The 21,566-nt window shown below is 50.0% G+C and overlaps 1 protein-coding gene across 3 annotated transcripts in view, besides 2 other annotated features; it reads right to left on the bottom strand.

Annotated features, from left to right (window-relative positions):
* Positions 1 to 21,307, bottom strand: part of NALF2 (NALCN channel auxiliary factor 2) — a 28,183-nt gene extending 6,876 nt beyond the window's left edge. The window contains exons 1-2 of one of the 3 annotated variants that reach the window (XM_011530909.3): positions 19,490 to 21,307; positions 10,522 to 11,752 (exon numbers count right to left, since the gene is read on the bottom strand). In XM_011530909.3, coding sequence (XP_011529211.1) covers positions 11,735 to 11,752; positions 19,490 to 20,350 — 879 coding nt within the window. In that variant the 5' untranslated portion in view covers positions 20,351 to 21,307 and the 3' untranslated portion in view covers positions 10,522 to 11,734. Of the gene's footprint in view, positions 1 to 10,521; positions 11,753 to 15,377; positions 19,123 to 19,489 lie in introns of those variants that run through there. The other 2 variants (XM_011530908.3, NM_015686.3) reach the window with 2 other exon arrangements.
* Positions 18,750 to 19,249: an enhancer, noted in NCBI's record as "H3K4me1 hESC enhancer chrX:68726227-68726726 (GRCh37/hg19 assembly coordinates)". NCBI's record gives its function as "activates a minimal SCP1, AML or CMV promoter by ChIP-STARR-seq in primed H9 embryonic stem cells {active_cell/tissue: H9 hESC(primed)}" and the evidence as "EXISTENCE:reporter gene assay evidence [ECO:0000049][PMID:30033119]".
* Positions 20,181 to 20,354: a silencer, noted in NCBI's record as "fragment chrX:68725122-68725295 (GRCh37/hg19 assembly coordinates)". NCBI's record gives its function as "represses an EF-1alpha promoter that drives an FKBP-Casp9 reporter gene in an ReSE screen in phorbol 12-myristate 13-acetate-treated (for megakaryocytic differentiation) K562 erythroleukemia cells {active_cell/tissue: K562(+PMA)}" and the evidence as "EXISTENCE:reporter gene assay evidence [ECO:0000049][PMID:32094911]".

Below are 21,566 nucleotides of genomic sequence, written 5' to 3'. Positions count from 1 at the left end.
AAGAAAGAGGGAGTAAGAAAGATGGGTAAGAACAAGCGGGGGTGAATAAGATGGAATAAGAGTGGCTAAGAGAGATGGGGCTGTAAGAAAGCAAAGCTAAGAAAGAGGAATAAGAGAGCGCAAGAAGGGGAGGAGAAAGAAACAGAAGTAAGGCAGGAAAGAACATGAAATTACAAGAACTAAGGGTCCCAGTACCTTAGAGACTTCCCTCCATCTTTTGAGCCCCAGAGTGCCAAGATGAGTCTCTGTCCATAGGCTCTGCCTCAATGTCTGTAGCCTGGACCCAGAGCCTGCCTCACCCTCACCCCAAAATGTGTGCAATCGGCCCCCTCCCAACCCTGCATCCATCAGTGTGACTCAGAGGTCCCTGTGGAATTCTCTCTGGGCTCTTCTAGTTCAGTGTTCCAGCTCCTAGGTGAGGAGGCCCCAGTGGAGTTCCTGCCCTCCTCCCAGGCAACTGCAATTAGCCCAGTAACAGGCTATGGTGGCTGGGCGCTCCCGTCATCTGCTCCTGGAGGGAGGAATGGAGGGAGCCAGCCAGGGTAGGTTGGGGAAGGGGGAGGGGTGGCCTGACATTGGGAGTGTGGCCTTTCTCCTTAATTAGACGACCTCCCCACTCAGTCCCCACACCCCCAGCCAGAGTCACCATGACAACAAGTGGGTGAGCAGATTGCTTGGGGAGGACACCAGGCCTGTGGGTGGCGAGGCAGGAACAGGCAAGGAGCTAATGAGGGGAATGGAGGAAGAAGAGTGATGTGGGGCTCAGAGGTAATCCAATTCCTCAGCCCCACAGCCGGCCAGCGGAGGCCATTGCTATCCCTCATGCCTCAGAGGTAGCCTGGGGTCCTTCTCAGGTGAAAGATCTGGCTCTCAGTGTTTGTTACAGCTTGGGCAACAAGCCTGCCTTAGACTCTGCAGCCCTGTTTCTTAGATGGACCTAGGTAGCTTGCCCTGTTTCACTAGTGTTAGGACTGAGCCAGGGGTTGACGGGGGAGGTTGTTTGGGCATTCACAGGTTCCTGGGCACTTGTCTACAAGGATGGAGGAAAGCCAGGAGGGCCCGGCTTAGGAGAGTTGTGGGGCTTGCTGGAGGCAAGGGATGCAGGGAAAGGGAAGAAATGTCTCAGAACAAGATAACAGTCAGTTCTGGGTGAACTACGGAGCTCTTTTGTTCTCCAGGATCTCAACTCTGGCTGCATATCACAATCACTCAAAGAGCTTCCAAAAAATACTCCTGTCTTGGGCTGGATGCGGTGGCTCATGATGGTAATCCCAGCACTTTGGGAGGCTGAAGCTGGTGGATTGCTTGAGTCCAGGAGTCCTAGACCAGCCTGGACAACATGGTGAAACCCTGTCTCTACATAAAAACATAGCTGGGTGTGGTGGTGCACACCTTGGATCCCACTTATTTAGGATGCTGAGGTGGGAGGGTCACCTTTGCCCAGGGGGAGGAGGTTGCAGTGAGCTGAGATCACACCATTGCACTCCAACCTGGGCAACACAGTGAGACCCTGTCTAAAAAAAAAAAAAAAAGAAAAAAAATACTCCTGTCTGGCTCACATCACATCCAGACCAACTAAGTCAGAATCCTTGTGGGTGGAGCCTACACATCTGTAGTTTTTCAAAATACCTCAGGCAATTTTAGTATGCAGCCACGGTTGAGAACCATCGGTTTGGGAGGAACTGGAAACCTGGTTTCCCACCTCCAACTCCAGGGTTCTTCCTACTGAACAATCCTACCAGCAACAGTGAATTCAAAATTTAAGAGGCAGGACACAGGGCATGGGGAGGGGAGGAGAGCTGAGGAGAACCAGGCCTGCTCTGGCATGTTAGACTCTTCAAACTCTAGCCCTGGCATAAAAGGCTTTCCAATTATGCCCTGTCCTCTGGGCTTAACCATCCTGAACCCTTGAGATGGCAGCGGGGGATGGGTGGGGTGGGAAGCATTGACCTGGCAGTGCCCTCCTTTCCCCACCTCAGTCGGGCCACTGCTGGGCTCAATCAAGTTCTGGCTGCTACAGCCCAGTTGCTATGGGAACTGGGAGGGGAAGGGAGCAGGAAATAACTAGAGGGAACACCAATTAACCCAAAAAGGAAGCTGCGAAGGCTGTCCCATCCCTCCTCCCAGCTGGGCTGCAGAGCACTCCAGAAATGGGAGGGGCAAGATGAGAGGTGTCACCACCCCTCCTGGGCTCTGCAGTTGCCAATCTAGGGAGGACCCAGAGAGCCTTACCCTCTGGCTCTGGCGCTTGCAGCCCTGGCCAGGGCATCATCATCCCCACTCTCCTCTAGAAAGAAGACTTTTACATCCCAAAGCCAGGACTCAGGGCCAGAAAGTTTAGAAAGCGGAGGCCATACCGAGCTCCTTGGTTCTGGGGCTGAAAAGCCCTCCAGGGAGGAGAGCTTTAGTTCTTGCCAACCAGGAAGTAAGCAGTTTCCTTCATGGATTCTAACTTGCTTCCATCCCTGGGGCCTGTTTCCCCATCCAAATCCTCCCTATAGGCCTTCTCTCCAGGGCTGCTTGTCTTCCTAATGTACCCTTGGGGCCCTTGGCCAGCAGCTGGAGCTGCAGCCGCAGAGCCTGTGGAGGCAAAGCAGCAATGTGAGCTACACATGGGGATGAAATCCACTGTCCACAGACACCACGGTACACTCCGCTCCCAGATTTTACCCATAGGGAAACTGAGACCCAAAGAAGAGGGTTGGCTTAGCCAAGTCAGAGGCATGCAAGAAATCAACTATAAGCCATGATTAGAAGGGAGGCAACCTGACTGCTAACCTGATGCCTCTTTGTACTGCATCCATCAGCACACAGAGAAGTGTGTGAGGAACCCCCTCGGGCAGGGTCTGAAAAGAGCCAAGTGCTCCTAGTCCCGACTCTGGGCTTTCAAAAGTTGGATCAGAACAGGGTTAGGTCAAAATCAGTCTCCTCAACCAGAGGAAGGAGATCATGGACATAACTCTGGGGACAGTAGTTCACTGGGATTGGTAGAATCAGACTGGGATTAGATGCATTAAAGGGCAAATCCAGGTGGATAATAGGGTTCTACTTAAGTGGCTGTAAAAATAAGCAACAGCTGTCCTGCTTCTCAAACTGAGCAGTCATGAGTCAAAGTGGCATGGCCTGAAGGAAAGGCAGGGGAGATGGCCAGAGAGGAGGGTGAGAACCTAGAGCCAGTGCAGTTCCAGAAAGCTCTCCCACCACCAAGCCTCTTGGGCCATCTGCTCAAAGGCCAGTGGCTGGATGGGCCCAGCCTGGACAGGGTTGGTCCAGTGGAGAAACAGTGTTCCTAATGTAGGAGCAGCTCTGAAGGGGCCTAGATAATCCCTGTCAATCAGGTGAGCAGAGGAGTCAGGGTCATGACTGTTCCAGAATAGAAGGGACCATGAGAACCATCACAACACTGCCCTATCTGCTGTTGGAATTTCCACTCCAACATCACTGCCAAGTGCTTATCCAGTTTCTGATTGTAAGCCTTGTCACAGGGGGTCATGCTGTCCTAGGGCAGCCCATATCTTCAGATAACTCTAGCAGTTACAGAAGTTCTTCCTTATTTTGAACTAATTCCTCCTTGTGGCTTCACTCGCAGCTCTTACTAGCTCTACTGGTGCCATATGGAACAGCTACCTTCCTGTCCCCTGTGCCAACCCTGCAGGTATTTTTAGACTTCTCTGAGTCTGTTTTTCTCATTATTTGTCCATGCAAACATTTCTTGAACATCTTCTGAGTGCCTGGCACTGTACTGGGAACTACAGATAATAGAGATGAGTAAGACAAGATTCCTGTCTTCAGGGAGCAGGGGAGACAACTATATGAATCAATCATTTTAAGTCACTGTGATAGGTAGCACAGACAGTCCCCAACTTATGATGGCTCAACTTACACTTTTTCAACTTTACCAAAGTGAGAAAGCAATATATATTCAGTGGAAATGATACTTCAAGTACCCATACAACCGTTCTGTTTTTCACTTTTAGTACAGTATTCAATGAATTACATGACATATTCAACACTTTATTATAAAATACACTTTGTGTTGGATGATTTTGCCTAATTGTAGGCTAATGTAAGTGTTCTGAGCACGTTTGAGGTAGGCTAGGCTAAGCTCTGATGTTTGGTAGGTTAGGTGTATTAAATGCATTTTCAACTTAAGATACTCTCAACTTACAATGGGTTTATCAAGGTGTAACCCCATTGTAAGTCAAGAAGCACTGTATCTCCTTGGTACAGTAGTAGCATTAAGAGAGGAGTGATCAACTGTGTTTTGAGGGCTGAAGGACAGGAAAACATCTCCATGTGGGAGAGGGTTGAGTTAGGGATTGAAAAAAAAATGAGTAGAAGGTAACTAGGTGGAATATGGAAAGAATAAGTGCACTTCAAGCAAAGAAATGAGCAGGCATAAAGGCCTGGAAGTGTGAAATAGTGCTGAGTTTAGAGACTGTAGGTAGTTCAGCATAGTTAGAGGGCGCAAAGTGGGATACAATGGGAGATGAGGTTGCAGAGGAAGGCCATGGCCATGGTTATGATATGCTCTGGAAGCTGACAAGGAGCTGGGCTTCATCCTATAGGCAATGGAGAGCCTTTAATAGGTTTCAAATAATTGCCTACTTAAAGATGGCTTGCCACTCCCATGACTAACTTTTCGGACTTCTGTCTGAAAGTGTGGTTGATGGAGTATAGGCATCAAGACCGGAGGCACAGAGATCAGTTACAAGACAATTCCAACAGTCTGAGTGAGAGGTTGTGAGGGCCCCGACTAAGGCAACAGTGGCAGAATTGAGAAATAGGGAGGAAGGGGTGGATGTGAGATGTTAAAGAGGTAGAATCACCAGGATTATTTAAGGATGTGGGGAATGAGAGAGAGGGAGAGATCCAGGATGATGACCAAGCTTCTGGGTTGGGTAGCTGGATGAATAGTTTCATTTATTAAGTCAGGGAAAATAGGAGGCATAGAGTTGGGGGTGAAGACGATAAATTCAGTTTGGGGTCATGTTGACTTTGAGGTATATGTGAGTCAGCCAGGTGGAAATGTTGAGGAGGCAGTTGGACACAGCAGTCAGCTCAGAAGGAGGGTCTGCATAAAGGCTTGGAAGCCATCAGGGGTTAGGGACTTAGTCATCAGGGACATAGTAGGACTACACTTTCCCACACCCTCTGAAGTTAGGCACGGCCATATGACTTGCTTTGGACAATGAAGTGTGAGTTGAGGTGACATGAGTCACTTCTGGGCAGAAGCTTTAAGAGCAAATGTATGATTTGCCACATTCTCCTCCCTCTGATGCTGACTGTGGAAGCAGTGTTATGTTGGATCCTCTACCATCCTGGGTCTTTGGTGACTATCATGAGCAGATGTTCCCTGATGACCTGTTTCAGACACGTATCATGAGAAAGAAGTAACCATTTGTTGTGCTAAACCTCAGATATTTGGGGGTTGTTTGTTACCAGAGCATAACCTAGCTCACCCTGGCTGCTTCAGCAATTGTGGAAGCCTAGAAAGTGGATGGCATTGCCTAGGATCAACAGTAGATCCCTAGAAAAACTAACACTTAAGGGGCAGATGGAGGAAAAGAATCAGATGAAGATGGAGGAGTGGCTCAAGAGATTGGAGGAGAAACAGAAGAGAGGCATTCTGCCAATTAAGGGAGGAGAGAATTTCAAAGAATAGGGAGTGGCCAGCAGATAAGGATTTAGATGGGAACACACTGGTTTGGGGAATTAAGAGGCAGTCTCATTATGGTGAGAGCAGTTTCAGTGGAGCAGTGGGGGCAGAAACCAGCCTGTAGAAAATTGAAAAGGAAATGTGAGGGAATAAAATTGAAGATAGCTATGTGTAGACTACTCTTTCAAGAAGCCAAACATCCCCAATTTTTTTTCAACTATTTCAAAAGATGTGGTTTCCAGTCCTCTGTTAGCCTGGTTGTTCACATTCAGATGAGTCCCTGTATTTCCATGTCCTTTGCAACTACACACAATCCCCGGATAGGATTTATCAACACAAAGTGAAGTAGAGGCATCAGCCCTCCTGTCCTAGAAACTTTTTGTTAATGCAGCCTAAGATCACATTTGCTCTTTGGAGGACTGTATCACATTCTGGTAACTCATGGGAAACGAAGAAGAGGAGGCCTGCCTGAGTGTGGGACCAAAGGGACAGCTTAGATCAAAGTCTTAACACACAGCCTTCTGGTAAGACATTTCTATAAATTATACACTCATGAGACTGTAGATTCACCAAGGACAGATTGTATCTTACTCATCTGTCCACTGTCCTCAGGGCCTCACATGGAGCTGGGTATACAAGTGGAGGAGGTATACACACAGAGGTACTTGACAAGTACTTGAAAACCAAACCTCTAGCAACTAGAGCAAGGTGGAGAGCTCCAAGGAAAAAAGTGAAAATAATGGGTTATGAAAGTGTTTGTGTGAGATTTTATAGTTCTGATAAAGAAATTGGGAATGTTATCAGCAAAAAATGAGAAAACTAAGCAAACAGAAAACAAGAGGCAATTATTAACTCCATGCAAACAAGATGACCAAGGAAGGAAATATAATCACAGTATTCTACATAACTCAGCTGTGAACAATATTTATAATTCTAGTAATATAAACATGGAATATTGTTAAAATCAGGAATTTTGATTTGCCAATATTGAATGTATGAGGGGAGGGGAAGCATGTGTGTATCTTAAGTGCTGCTGGGAGTAAAAGAGCTAAATCTTCCTTTAATCACATTTTAAAAGTCAACAGATATTTAAAAGAGAAAAATTGGGAAATAGAATATTGACATGGCATTTAGAAATGTGGAGGTAAATATCAGAAGAAAACAGCTAAGAGAGTTGGAAGTATTTAATTCTGAAGAGTGAGGCTCAGGGGTGGAGTAGAGGGCTACTGTTTTAATGATAAGCATTGAGATCTATATATGTCATTTAACAGATATTTTATATTTAGAATTTAAAAGCTTTATAAGCTACAAGGATACATATAAATGAGATATATACACACAGGTGTATATATGTATATGTGTGAATATCTATCTATACATGTGTGTATACACAAATATTTAAAACAGAAAAAAACAAGAAATAGCAATATTAGCATACCATTTAGAAATATTGAGGTAAATATCAGAAGAAACAGTCAAGAGTGTCTCAAGTGTTTGACTCTGAAGAGTGAGGCTTGGGGTGTGTGTGTGTGTATACACATATATATGTGTGTGTATATATATATATAGCTTGTACATGCCTTTTAAAATTATGAAAATACAGTACTTTGATAAAGTGAATTTTAAATAAAAACAAACTGCTTTGCAGCCACGAACCTCGAAAACAACAAAACAAAATCTCCAAGACCTGACCTGACCAACCTCGCTAGACTCAGCCCACACTGCCCTGCTGCAGAGCCCCAGGCCCTGCACTGCCCTGCCCTGGATCATCTACTCCATCATCACTGTCTGGACCATGGTAAATTTATCAGGACAACAGAGCTAATGAGGGGTCCCATAGCCACACAGAGGACTAAGATGAGACGAGGGGAGCTTTGGGAGCTTCGGGAGCTTCTGTGCACAATGGTTGTGCAGAGTACCACAGGAATGGTGCCAGTGTGACAGTGACAGCCACAGGTTCCCTTCAGCTGCACACACTTCCCCTTCCCAGGCACACTTGTTTGCCACATACAGCTATACCTGGGCCCAGGCCCAGGAAGCAATCTCCAGCCTTCTCCAGGGATCACCAAAGACAGATCCTTACCTCCTCCTCCAAATGCTGTGCCTTGCCAGAAAGATGAGAGGCTGGAGAGAACAGAGATGTGATCAAAGATGACTGTCAGCTGTGCTTGGTCTTTAGTGATGAGGTAAATCAAGGGCTTTGGAGTCTTTCCATCTCCCTCTCTGCCTCTTTCCTCCCCCATCTAAGTATATCCTTGTGCCTTCCCTCACTAGAATCCCTCCACTTGCCTTCTGGCTCCTCATCCCCTACCATAGATACTTCACCTCCTGTTCACAAATTACCTTTCCCTACTCCTAAGTATCCCACCCCAGTGTTGTCAACATCAATTAGATATTAAGCAGTCATTTGGATTAAACACACCTAATTAAGGAGAGAATAATAATAGCTACCATTTATTAAGTGCTTACTATATGCCAGGCTCTGTTCTAATCACCTGACCCAGACATTTATTAACTCACTGAGACCTCACAACTATCCCTTGAGGTAGAGACAGATCTTTACAGATGAGGACAGGGAGGACCAAAGAGTTTAAATAACTTGTCCAAGGTCCACAGCCAATAATAATAATAACAATGGGGGCTAGCATGTCTTGAGCACTTTCCATCTCGCAGGCACTGTGCTCTTAAGAGATTAGCATGCTTCATGTTATTTAAGCCTCATAATGACCCTATTTTTTAGTTCCAAAGGTGAGGAAAATGAGATGCCAATAGAGATTAAAGAATATGTTCAAGTTCTCAACAGCTATTCCACAGAGAAGACAGATTTCGAACTGAAATTTGAAGTCAGGTTAATCTGGACTTCGGTGTCTAAACTCTTATACTCATATTGCCCTTGGGATGGTCCCTTCAATTCACTACAACCACTGAAGCCAGTGGACTCAAATCTCATTCTGACATAATTTCACATCAAATTAGGGAGAGATTTGTATGTCTGGATGGGAGGCGTGACTCTAAAATCAGTCTACGTAGTCCATTCTCCACATGAGTAAAGTTTTCTTTGTAAGTAGATGTGGGGGAATAGCATTTGGATATTAGGTGCTACAAATGATCATTTCCATTCCACAATCAAAGTATTCCTTTCTCTCTCTCCTCAACACACACACAAACGCACACACACACACCCTGAGAGATGGAGGTGTTAAAAAGAGGCAAACACTGCTTTGCTTCTTCTGCGCCCATCAGCTTCCTACCCAGGGCCAAAGGCTCACTATTCCTGTTTTAATCTTTAGCAGTTGGTGAAGGGAAGGCAAATGTCTCCAGAAGAAAGATTTTCTTGCCTCAGAACATGAGTTCTCCTGTCCCAGGTCCTACCATCTGGGGGCTTCTAGAGTAGCCTTGCCCTGGAAGACTCCAATGCCAGAGTCCATTCCTTCAGAAAAGTCTCAGGGTATCTATGCACTCCACTTTCTCCCCAACTCCTTCTCCCCAGCATATTCCACAAATTCTCTTCATCGAGAAGCCCCTGCTCCAGTTAGATAGAGAGTTAGAGCTGGCTTCAGATTCTGGCTCTGCCACCAACTGTGTGAATTTGGACAAGTCACCACCTGTAGGGAGACAGGGACTCAGCCACTAACTTTCTGGTGACTGTGAGAAAGGCACTTTTCCTTCCTGGGCCTCAATTTGGATCCAAGAAGTTGATGCCTAGGGAGTAATCAAATACAGTGGGAAGACAGGGTCAAACATCTTTAAACTCAGTCATGCAGTCCAAACCCTAGGTTTGCTCATACTGGTTATAAAACCCCAGGCAAGTTACTGGACTTCCCTGATCCACACTTTCCTCATCTGTAAAATGGAGATAATAAAAGTACCTACCCTTACTTTTCAGTAAATTATGCCTGTTAAGCAACTAGCACAAAGCTTTACCACACAAAGCTTTACCGATAGTATAATTACACCAGCAAAGACTGGGTGGTACCATTGTCTGCTGCCATTCAAATCCCAGCTCCAACTCTTACTAGCTGGATGAGCTTAAGCTAGCCATTTAACCTCTCTGAGCCAGTCTTCTCCTCTGTAAAATGGGAATAATATCATGTACTTCATAAGGAAGATGCAAGAATTAAGTAAGATAAAGGACACAAAGTGTGTGGAATAGTTCTCTTCCTTTCCATTCCCTCCTTTCAGCTCTATGGTGCAAATAACAAATGAAAAAAATCTGCCACAAATGTGATTAGAAAAAGGTTAATATCATTAATACATACAAAAAAGCATGTACGAGTCAGTAAGGAAAACACAAAACATGAAAAGATAATTCACAAAGCAGGCAAGACAAATGGCCTATAAACAAGAAAAACAAATGTCTGACCTAAGGAATGAAAATGAAAAGCCAATGTTGTACCATTTTTCAACTACCAAATTAGTAAAGCTTTAAAGATGTGATAGCCAATACTGGAAAAGTGTGCTGCATATTAGTCTCACACTTTTGGTGAGGGTATAAACTAGAATAACCCAGTAATTTGAAAGAAAGTTGGTAATGTATGTCAAGAGCCTCAAAAAGGTTAATACTCTTTGATTCTGTACATCTAGCTCTGAAACTTCACCTTGCAGAATTAATGTCTATGCTCCCATTTGTATGCAAAAGGAAAGAAAAAGTCATTTTGTGTGTAGACGTTTATGTAAGCCTGCACAGAGGGGCAGGAGAACACACTACATATTGTTAACATCAGGGACCTCAGGCAGTGGGATTGGGAGGGGAGCTAATAGGAGGAACATTAATGTTTTCTTTATAAACCGCTGTATTGTTAGATTTGGTACAAACAGCATGCATTATTTTGTGATTTTAAAAACTCAGCAAAGTAGATAAATAAGAAAAAATGACTGAGATAGCATTTATTCGTAAAAAAGAATCGTTCTGAAACAGACTTATGAACAAAGAATATCATCACAGTATTATTTATAATAGCAAAATGTTGGAAGTAACATAAATGTCAATAGGGGACTAGTTAAATAAATTACATTACATTCATGTGATGGAATATTGTACACTCATCAAGAATGATGTTTATGAATATTTAATTACATGAAGAGATAGTGTAACAAGTTTAAAAGAGCAGGGTAAAAAACAGTATGATTTCAACTATGTAAAAATATATAGTCACACATATCAAGATGGCTATTATCGAAAACACTTCAGAAAATAACAAGTGTTGACAAGGATGTGGAGAAACTGGAATTCTTGCATACTGCTGTTATGTATGTAAAATGGTGCAGAATGTATAACATAAAATGTAATATAATGTAAAATGGTTCAGCCATTGTGGAAAACAGGATGGCAGTTCCACAAAAAGTTAAACATAGAATTGCCATATGATCTGGCAATTCTACTCCTAGGTATTAATATAAACCCAAAAGAAATGAAAGCAGGGACTCAAAGGATACCTGTACACCAATGTTCATAGCAGCATTATTTATAATAGCCAAAAAGTGGAGATAATCCAAACGCCCACCAACAAATTAATGGATAAACAAAATGTGGCATAGATATACAATGGACTATTACTCAGCCATAAAAAGGAATGAAGTACTGATGTATACTGCAACATGGATGAACCTTGAACACTAAATGTTCATGCTAAATGAAATAAGCTGGACACAAAAGGACAAATAGTGTATGACTCCACTTATATGAAGTACCTACTCAAATTCCTAGAGACAGAAAGTAGAATAATGCTTACCAGGGGCTGGAAGGAGGGAAGAATGGGGAGTTTTTTTTTTTTTTAATTTTTTGAGACAGAGTCTTACTCTGTCACCCAGGCTGGAGTGCAGTGACGCGATCTCAGCTCACGGCAACCTCCACCTCCCAGGTTCAAGTGATTCTCCTGTCTCACCCCGAGTAGCTGGGATTACAGGTGTGCACCGCCATGCCCGGCTAAGTTTTGTATTTTTAGTAGAGCTGGGGTTTCGCCATGTTGGCCAGGCTGGTCTTGAACTCCTGACCTCAGGTGATCTGCTCAGCTCGACCTCCAAAAGTGCTGGGATTACAGGTGTGAGCCACCGCGCCCGGCTGGGAGTTCTTGTTTAATGGGCACAGAGTTTCTGTTTGGGAGGATGAAAACGTTTTAGAAATGGATAGTGGTGATAATTGTACAATACTGCAAATGTGCTTAATTCCACTGAATTGTACACTTAAAAATAGTTGAAATGGTATATTTTATGTTATGTACATTTTACCACGGGAAAAAAAAAAGACTAAGTGCTCTGGGACTTTTTTCCTTTTATACTTCTACTTTCCAAAATTTCTCAAAGGCCTTTTTGGTTAACTGGAAAAAAAGATATTATAAGATTCTGAGACTATAATAATTCTAAGAGATTAACTTAGTTGGAAGTTTTAATGAGTTCAACACTAAACAGACAAGCTCACCTTTCACAGATCAGCCAGGTAGCCATGCTATCTTCTTAAAACCAAATAAGACAGGGAACATTGGTAACACCCATCACCACCAAATGCCCCTCTTCTGGCAGAACTTGGTGGACTGGCACTTCCTTCAATCCCCAAGAAAAGCCTAGGTGTTCAAGTTTAGGGGCTCACCAAAACCCTTGCATGGGAACTGGGCATCCAAAGCCCAGGCCAGGCCTCAGCGGACTCTGGGGCAACAAAGTCTTACTGCAGTCGTTTTCCCTTCCAGCTCTACCAGCATGTGCAAGGATATGGAGAAACTGCACATGTTGAGGTGTAGTGGATGTGGAGGCCAGGGTCTCAGGTCTGCATTAGGCCTGCTTAGGGACTAACTTAGGTTAATGTTCTGCACCTTCTCCCCTCGTGCTCTGCTTGATCCCTCCAGCAGATTGGGGCTGAGAATATAACAGAGATACCTTCCCTCCAGGCGAGAGGAGCCCAGGTCCTCCCATCTCCTTTGCAGTTCCTTCCCTGTGCCCATTCTCTTGTTGCTATTCCAGGAAGGTAACAGTGATTGTCACTGGGTCCAAGGACAAGAGACTGGGACGTTGAACAAAGAGGATGTTGGTGGGTCCTCGTTTTGGATCTGGGCCACTCCAGAGGACCTCTAAGCTACCAATAGGCTCTGTTGGGCCTCCCTTCCAGTCGGCCCAGCTTCTCAGCCCAGCCTCTCAGTAGCCAGCTGGGCACTACCTCTGACAGTTGGAGGAGATTATTAGCATTTTCTTCATGCATCTGTGCACTGGAGAAAGAACAGACAGACCTAGGTTTGTATGCCAGTCCTTTTGCTATGTGGCCTGGGTAGGTCATTTCACCTCACTGAGCCTCAGTTGTCTCATGTGTAAAATGGGAATCATGATAGTGCCTGCCTGCTAGGATGACTGCCAGGATTAAATGAGTTCATGAACATATATAAAGCCCCTGGCATCTCCTAGGCACTCAAAGACTCGCAATTTTCTTCTTTCCTTCCCCTTTCTTAGCCCTTTCGTCTTTGCAGCCAGTTGGCCTCATCTTCTGGTGCACAGACTTGTGGCTCAGGTTCCAGCTCCTTTCTCCAGAATGCATTCGAGCAGGAGCTTTGGCCCTGGCAGTCCCTGTCACTCCATAGTAACTCCTTCCCTCTCCAGAGCCAGCTGCAGCTCGCCTGGTGCCCTTGCCCTCCCCTCTAAGCACCTATCTGGCTAACAGTATCAAAAATTCAGGCGTTACTGAGCCCACTTTTATGCCCAGGGAGAAAAGGCTGGTCCAGCATCCCTGGCCTCTTGCACACACTCTGGTCTGTGTGCCTGTAATCACACAAAACGCAAACATACCCATTCCCCAGAGACCTACCAGGCCAGCATCGGAGAATGGTGCTTGTAGGGGTCCAGATTTGTCCAGATCCCCAGAAGCAGGGGCCACCCCTGGCTTTCAGCTAACACTGGCAGCTGGAATCCACATGTGGCTGAGAAATGAGCTGGGGAGGGCAGGTTTGATGCCCAGTCTGTATGGGCACACAGAAGGTAAACTGCCTCAGAGGGTGGGGGCACAGAATAACTGCCCCAAAGGAGTTTTTCTAAGGCACACTCCCGCCCCTGAGTCTGAGGTTCAGCCTATGTCCCTACCCACATGTAAAAAAGTGAGTATACCCTTTCCTTAGGGTACTGACACATCCAGAGGGGACCAACATGCATCCGCATGGCTTAGAAGCACCCTCGCATGCTTACGATGTGTTGGGAGATTCTTGACCCTCCTTTGATCTTGGTTCCACCCACTGTCTTCCCTTTCCTCACTCCCACCTTCACCATGTTCAGCAGACTCTTCCTGCCAGACCATGGTATTGGGTGGGAGGCTGTTAGGCTCCCTTTCTCCACCTAACTCCCCCAACCCCCACCTTCAGGAGATACCAGTGTATCCTTCCTGGAGGTTCCCGTTGCTATGGTGACTGTAGTAGTCAGGCACCAGCCTGCGGGAAGGATGGGAAGTAGCCATGAAGAAGACCGGGGGATGTGTGTCTGTATGAATGTGTGTCTGTGTGTGCATGCACACATGTACATGTCTACCCTGAATGGTAACGAGAGAAGGGAAGTGGGAGAAAGAGAGCAGAGAGGGAGAGGGGGAGGCAGGAGGAAAGAGGGTGGAAGAGAGGACCAGAAGATGAAAGAGAGCAAGAAAAAGGATGGGGAGAAGGGAGGTAAAGTGTGAGTGGGGTGTGAGTGATGCAAGGCCCAAGGGGCATGCAGGCCAGAAGAGGGTGTGGGATCTTGGAGTAAAGGTTTGGGAGGGGTGTCAGGTGGGAGATGGGAATAGGGGGAGTAATGTGGAATGTGAGGGGCTGACTGTTGAGAGGAAAGAGGTGGGGAGTGAGGTCCAGAGTTGAGGTGGAAGGGGGTGGAGATAACTGTCAGGAGGGGCAGGGGTTGGAGGACTGTAGGTAGAGGGAGTAAGGTGTGGGTGTGGCTTAGGAAGAGCGTAGGGTGATAAGTAGAAGATTGGGAAGGTTGTAGGGTCATTGGAAAGTGGATAGGCATGTTGGGTGTGAGCTAACGTGGGAAGAACATGGAGGTTGGAGTGGGGGCAGGTCAGGGTGGGAGTGACCACTTTCCCACTCCCAGTCTTAATTCACTGTGTGCTATTCCAGGAAGGTAACAGTGATTGTCACTGGGTCCAAGGACAAGAGACTGGGACACTGAACAAAGGATGTTGGTGGGTCCTCACTTGTCCTCACTATAAACATTGCCTCCTCTCTCTGCCTGCTCCAGGATTCCTGGCTCCTGCTCCTTCCCAGAACCCCATGCTCACATTCCTTGGTGAAGAGATGAGCTTCTGTGGATCTGGAGGCCCCTCCCCAAGGGCAGGCTTTGCCATGGCTCCCGGGAGGCTGTTTATAGACAGCCTGCCCCTTCCTCTACCCCCAAACAGGGACCAGGGTACCTCTCTGGCTCTAAGAGCCCTGGGTCAGGGAGGCTGCCTGTGGGGCACTGCTTCCTGACTGCAAGCTGTGTGATGAAAACAGACACCACTGGCCAACTTGGGGCTCCTGTCCTTTACCCAGTGCCCTGAGCTCCCTGCTCTCAGCACCCCTCATACCCAGTGTTAGCAAGGAGTCCTGCTTGGCAGGAAAGCTGTGGCAGGTGGGAGGAGAGAGGAAGGCAGTGAGGCAGAAACAGCTGCCAGCCGGAGTGGAGGAAGAGCAGGGCCCCAGCGGGTACGGGCAGAAGGCAAGGCGCTGGCTCTGGCAGCCCCCCACCCCCTCTCTTTGTGTGGGCGTTAGGACCAACCTCCTTCCCCAGCCCTCCCCATCCAGTGCTGCTGTTCAATGAGCAAGCTTTGCTCACAGGCCTAAAATCCAGGCTGAAATATACCTCAAAGGTCACCTGGTCCAACTCTGCTCATAATCTGGTGTTAGAATTGCCTCCACGGCATTTTCCCCAAGGGTCCACCTGTATCGGGCCAGACACTTCCTGGGAGCAGGAGCTCACTTCCTCCTAAGGCAGTCTGTTCCTTTTTTGAAAGGAAGAAACTGAGCAACTCTGATATGGCAGGTCTGGGTACTGTAAAGACTCTTCTCATTAATAATGACCTCACAGGACTGTTACGATGAATTAGCCCCATTTTACAGGTGAGAAAAGTGAGGCTCAGAGAGTTGACGTCCTTAGCTCAAGGTTACACAGGTAATAAATAAAAGAACTAGGTTTTAACCTAGAACTTTCTAACTATAAAAGCCCTTTGGGGCCACGCAGGTCATGCTTTTTCATTTATACCATGTCAACTATTCTGAGGTGTGAAGTCAGACAGCATATCTGCCCGAGTCACCTCTTCTCCAGGTGAAACACCTCCTTCAACTCTCTCCAGAAGAACATGGGTTCCTGCCTCCTTCTCAGCCCAGTCAGTGTGAGACCCAAAATCAAACACACTGTCTGCCAGGTGGGTTTGGGTCAGTCTGGAATAGAGCAGAACTATCACATCCTTCCCTGGCACTCATCTTTACTAATGCAACCCTATGGCTGGTGAGAGAGCTAAGAACTGCCCCTCCCTTGGGCCTCTATTTCCCCTCAGATCAACAGCTATGAGAGAAGAAGCCAGGATTTTGCCCCCATCTCCATCACTCCCCCTAGTCTGAATGTTCTGAAGAGAGAGTAGGAAAGAGACAGAGGTGGGGGAAGAGGCAATCAGAAAGGCAGGAGTGTGGCAGAACTGGGAGGATGGAGAGCCATGGGGGAGTGTGGTGGTTGTCCAGTAACCCTAGCTATGGCCAAGAGAGTGGGGTGGGGGTTGGAGGAAATAGGGCTTGTGGGGATGCACAGGAAGCTAAGAGAGAGGTGAGGCATGACCCTGGGAGTTGGGAGAGGCCAGGGCGGGGAAGGGCATCGGCCTACCTAAGTTACATTGCCCTGCTGTGTGAGAGGAAGTCAGTTGCACATTAAGGAAATGTTGCAGCTGGTACTAAATTGGGAGGTGTCACAGGCAGCAGCGAGGACAGGTATGATTCGTGGGGCCCTGTGTGGCCTGAAACGGGGGCAGATATTGCAAAGGCAGAGAACAGGGTTTCTGGGGCCACCCAGGGAAGAGCTAACTGATGCACTCAGTACAGGGTCCTGGGGACAGGGGGTCACCTGGCTCTGAAACAGAGGTTCCCAGCTTGGTTTCTAGAAGTAAGAAAGCCTCTTCATCTTGGCCTGGGGCTGTGGTCTCTCCACTCAGGAGAAGCTCTGAGGGTGGGGCGTCATCTCGCAGGGATCCCATTTGGGGTGGGGACCAGACAGGAGGGCTTGGAGCCCAGGAACGGGGTTTGGGAATGGCAAGTAAGGCCTGCCAGGGAGGTGGGGTGAGGGACTGAGGAGAGAGGAGCCTACAGTCCAAGTAGGGTAGCAGGGCTGTCTTTTCCCTTCGTGCCCATCATACAGCTGGATTCGAGAGCCAGGTGGGTCTGGCCTCAGTTGAGGGAGAGAGCATTGGACAAGGGTGGGAAAGGCCGGAAGAGAGCTATGGAGCTGGCACTGCCCTTCTGCCGGCACAGCAGGCAGCGAGAGCACAGGAGGAGTTCGCTGGTTTGCTGGAGAGAGACAGACAAGAAGACAAAGGAGAGGAGGGAGGGCCATCAGGAACTTGATGTGAGGCCATGGCAAAAGCACGAGGTTGGCACCAAAACACGTGGGCTGGAGTCCTGGCACTCCTGCTCATTAGCTGAGTGACCTTAGGGCAAACCATTTGATCCCCTTGCACCTGAGTTTCCTCATCTGTAAAATGGGAGTAGTGGTGCTAGTATCACCAGCCTCCTTGATCTCATAACACACACGAGAGGGGCGGAAAAACCTTAAGCATTACATTAATGTCAGATGTTATATTCTTATTACAAAATACATCTGCACCTTCTTCCCACAAAAGACCCAGGATGTGGGCAGAGCAAGGATGATGATCCCTGTTTTACAAATGAGGAAATGAAAGCTTACAGAAGTGAAGTGACTTGCCCAAGGTCATACCACTAACAAGAAGTAGAGGTGATAAGGCCTCCTGAACTGGAGAGATCAGATGTATTTCTCCTACGTCACACTGCTTGGTAAAAACAATCAACATGAGAGATTTGTATTTAGTTCAGGTCCAGACAGAAATCGGAGTCAACTACAACACGGAGAAAACCCCATGGGGAAGTTGTGGCATGCCTCTCATTCATACTGGTGATTGAGGAAAAAAACAAAACAAACAAACAAAAAACAGGGCCATGGGGTTGAAGGGAGGGCCACAAAAAACAGACATCCTTGATTCCATCTGCTTGTGGACCCTGTCTCTCTGCTCCCACTGAGTGTATGTGTCCGTGGCTGACATCGAGGGTATGTGTCTCTGTAAGACAAAATGTGCCCTTCTTCATGTGACAGTACTTCTGCCTGCGTGTCTCTGATACCATGGGGAGATGTGCGTGTGTGTGACACGGCATCTGCTTCTAATGACACTGTTTGTGGGTGTGACGACCTCTCTGCATGCCTATGTGACTTTGCCCGGGGTGGTGGTGATGGTGTATGGCAGTGTGTGTGTCTATCTGTCTGTATACCTTTAAGAAGTGGAATATCTCATTTGGTAGTGTGAGTGAGGCAGTGAGTCAGCTGAGGCTGAGGGAGGCGGGAGGGAGACTGCTAGGTTACGAGAGCAGGAAAAAGGAGAAGGAGAAAGTGAAGTCAGGAGCGAGGAACTACCCTTTTCCTTCCCAACCCTCTGCCCCAATCCCTAGGGAACCCGCTAAAAGCATGGAAGCCCTGCAGAAGTCCACAAGGGCCATGCTGGATGGAAAATGGCACTTTCTGCCCCTCCCCAAAGTCTTGGAGGGACACGAGCTAGGCTAGAAAGCAACTGTCTCACTCTCCAGCTCTTGGCCCCAGCTCGAGGATGTGTGAGGCCACCACCCCTCCTGGTCTCCTTGTCATCTGACCCTTTGACCTTGCTGTTCTCTTTCCTCCCAAAGGCAGGTCACCTGGCCAGGCTGGGCGAGCAGGGCAGTACCATCAAGTCCCAAATGTTTGCAGCCCTCACCCACCTAACTGTCCAGAGCAACCCCGCCGAGGGTCAAGAAGTTTCTTAACACTCAGCTCTTCCCTAGGCGGGCCGGTCTGCAGCTGCCTCACCTCTCCTCTGGATACCTATCCCCAGCAGCTAGAAAGCCAGTGTTCCCCCCACTGTCACCATGGGGTGCTGGGAAGGCACTGGGAGTTTTGTATGAGAATGCACTAACCTTCAGTGGCCTTCCCACCAGTCGCTGTTCCCTGTTCCCAGCTCCTTCCTTTGTCAGGGGAGAAGAGCCTGCAGGTGACTTCCTTGGGAGAAGACAGGCAGCCCCTGGGCTCGACCTGCCTCGGCTCTGGCCAGTCACCTCAGGTCACATAAGGTCAAGTGTGTGGTGTGCCCCACCACCAGGAGTGCTCGTCCTCTCACCCACTGGCAGAAGCCAAAGGGTGAGGGTTTGGTTGCCAAATATTCTTCCTCCCATCTTTGGCCTTCCCCCTGCACCAGCCAGTCCCAGGACGTTCAGTTCCAGCCTCTGAAAGGAGAGGGGCATGGCTGGCTGAGGATGGAGGCTGGGGGGAGCACAATCCCTCCTGCCACCTCATTGTCAGCCCAGGGCCCTGCGGCCCCTCCCCACTCATGAGGGAGCAGGGCGCCAGGAAGCCCCAGGCCTAAGGTGCCCAAACCCGGAATTAATAGAAGTTAGCCAGGTGGTTACCTGACCTGAATCCCTGAGGCCTCTTCACTAGGGAAGGTCCCAGGGTGGCACTGGTAGTGCTGCACTGGGCACGGTGGGAGTGGTGGGGTGGGTAGAAAGGGAGACTTCCTTTTTTCTCCCGGTCCCACTGCGGCCGCTGCCGCTGCCCAGGGCGGCTGCTGTGGCTGCGGAAGCCAGTCCTTACCTTACAGCCTTTCGTGCAGGACCGGATTGAGTACTCTTCCGCCTGTAAGTATTTATGCAGCACGAGGTCGAACTCGTCATATTTTTCCTGAGCGTGTCGGTCCAGCCGCTGGTACGCCTCGATACAGTTGCTACACGCCTCCCAGGCCCCGGAGCCCGGGCTGGCCACCACGGCCAGCAGGTCCCCCATCAGGGTGTCCAGGCTACAGTCCAGGCTGTCGGGGCGGTCCATGCCCAGCAGCAAGTCCCAGACCGTGTAGGTGTCGCAAAAGGAGAGAGTGAAGTTCCGAAAGTGGCCTTTGAGCAAGTTTTTTTTGGCGGAGGGGAACTCGGCCGGGGCACGGGAAAGGGAGTCAGGGGGCCGCAGAGGGGGGGCCGGAGTAGTCGGTTCGAAAAGTCTCTGCAAAGATTGCAATTTGGTGCAAGCTGCGTCCAGCCCCGTGGGCTCTGGGACGCCGCCGCAGACCGGCCGAGAGCCGGCGGCGGGGGCGGCTTTGGTCAGGTTGCTGTATCTGGGGCCGCAGGTGCCTGGGGGCGCGCTGGGCTCGCCGGGCGGCGGCGGCGGCAGCGGCAGCACCGCGCGAGGAGGCACCGGCTGCCGCTCCCGGCCGGCCCCCCATGGGGGCCGCATGGCGCTGCTCAGCTCCCTGGCCCGGGGCCGGGCCCCCGCGCACAGCCACAGATGGTCAGCGAGCAGCACGGTGAAGAAGAGCAGGGACGCCAGGGACAGTCGCCATCGCTGCGCCCGCTCGGAGTCGGCGCAAGGTTTGTCGCTCGGCCTGGGAGCCCAGCAGCAGCAGCAGCAGCAGATAGTCAGCGCGGCGGCGTCTTTCCCGGGCCACATCCAAGCGCCCCTGAACATATTTCAGGGGGGTCCGGGCTGGAGGGAACAGGCAGGCGCGAGGCCAGACGGCCGTCTGGGGCGGGCGGGCTGCGCGCCGCTCTGCGCTCCTCGGCGCCGTCCAGGCTCTACCTCGGGGGCTGCATGGTGAGGCAGGCCGGCCGGCGCGATGCCCCGCTCAGGCCGGAGTCGCGGGGCGCTCTGGTGCCGTCTCCGCGCCGCTCCCGCGCTCCGTCGCTCTCAGCCCGGGCGCCGCCGCCCGGCCCGCTAGGCGCTGCCCGGCGTCCCGGCTGGGGGCGGTGCGGGGCACTGGGGCGGTGGCGGCTGCGGCGGCGGCGCCGCACTCCTCATAGTGTCGGGCCCCTCAGCTGCCCTCGGCTCCGTGCCACTTCACTCCGCGCCGGCGGCCGCCCGGCTCGCACTCCAAACCGGCCGTCTCGGTTCGGCGCAGCTCTGCGCCCCTCAGCGCCGCCGTGCGGGCCCCGCCGCCGCGCTCCGCTCCGCTCCCCTCGCCCCGCGCCGCTCCGCTCCCGCCCGTCCGCCCGCTGCCCGCTCCACGCCGCTCCCTGCCTCGCTCGCGCCCTCCTAGGCCGGCCGGCCGGTCCGTTGCCGGGCCCTTCGGGCTTCGTTCGCGCTCCGGGTGTTCGCCGGGGCCAGTCCCTGGCGGGCTCCGCTCTGGCTCCGCACCCGCTGCTCCTGGAGTTCCGGCTCGGGCGGGCCACCTGGCTCCCGGCAGCGCCACAGGCGCCGGACGCAGACACCGGGCTTTACTTAGTGCGCCTCTCGCTTCCGCCTCTCGTTCGCACCGCTGTGGCTGCAGCCCAGCGGCACGGCCCCGTGGCTCCCGCTGGCCATGCACCCTCAGTCTGTCGCCATCTTCCGCTGTGCGGAGAACACCTTGAGAGCCCCTGTGCAAGTGTGTTTGGCGGGGAGCAGGGCGGAGAAAGAGGCACGGAGAGGAGGAGGGAGCGGGACTGGTGCCCCGACTGCGCCTGCGCCTCAGGACTCCCCCCACCCCACCCCGCCCCAGCCCCCGCCGGCCGCAGCCGGTGCTGTTTGGGGATGTTTCCAGTCCACCCCCAACTCCATTCACTTCAGCGCCTCCGTTCATCCGCCCGCTGCCCGCGTGCACATGCCACACGCTGAGTCCCAGGCCTCGGCGCTCCCCCTCCCCCACTAACCCGGGCGCCCGCCTTCCTCTCCATGGCCGTCCCTCACTCCCCCGAGGGCTAGGGGA

Source organism: Homo sapiens, chromosome X (genome assembly GCF_000001405.40).
Source record: "Homo sapiens chromosome X, GRCh38.p14 Primary Assembly".
Taxonomy (NCBI): Eukaryota; Metazoa; Chordata; class Mammalia; order Primates; family Hominidae; genus Homo; species Homo sapiens.
This window is presented reverse-complemented; position numbering and strand designations above follow the sequence as displayed.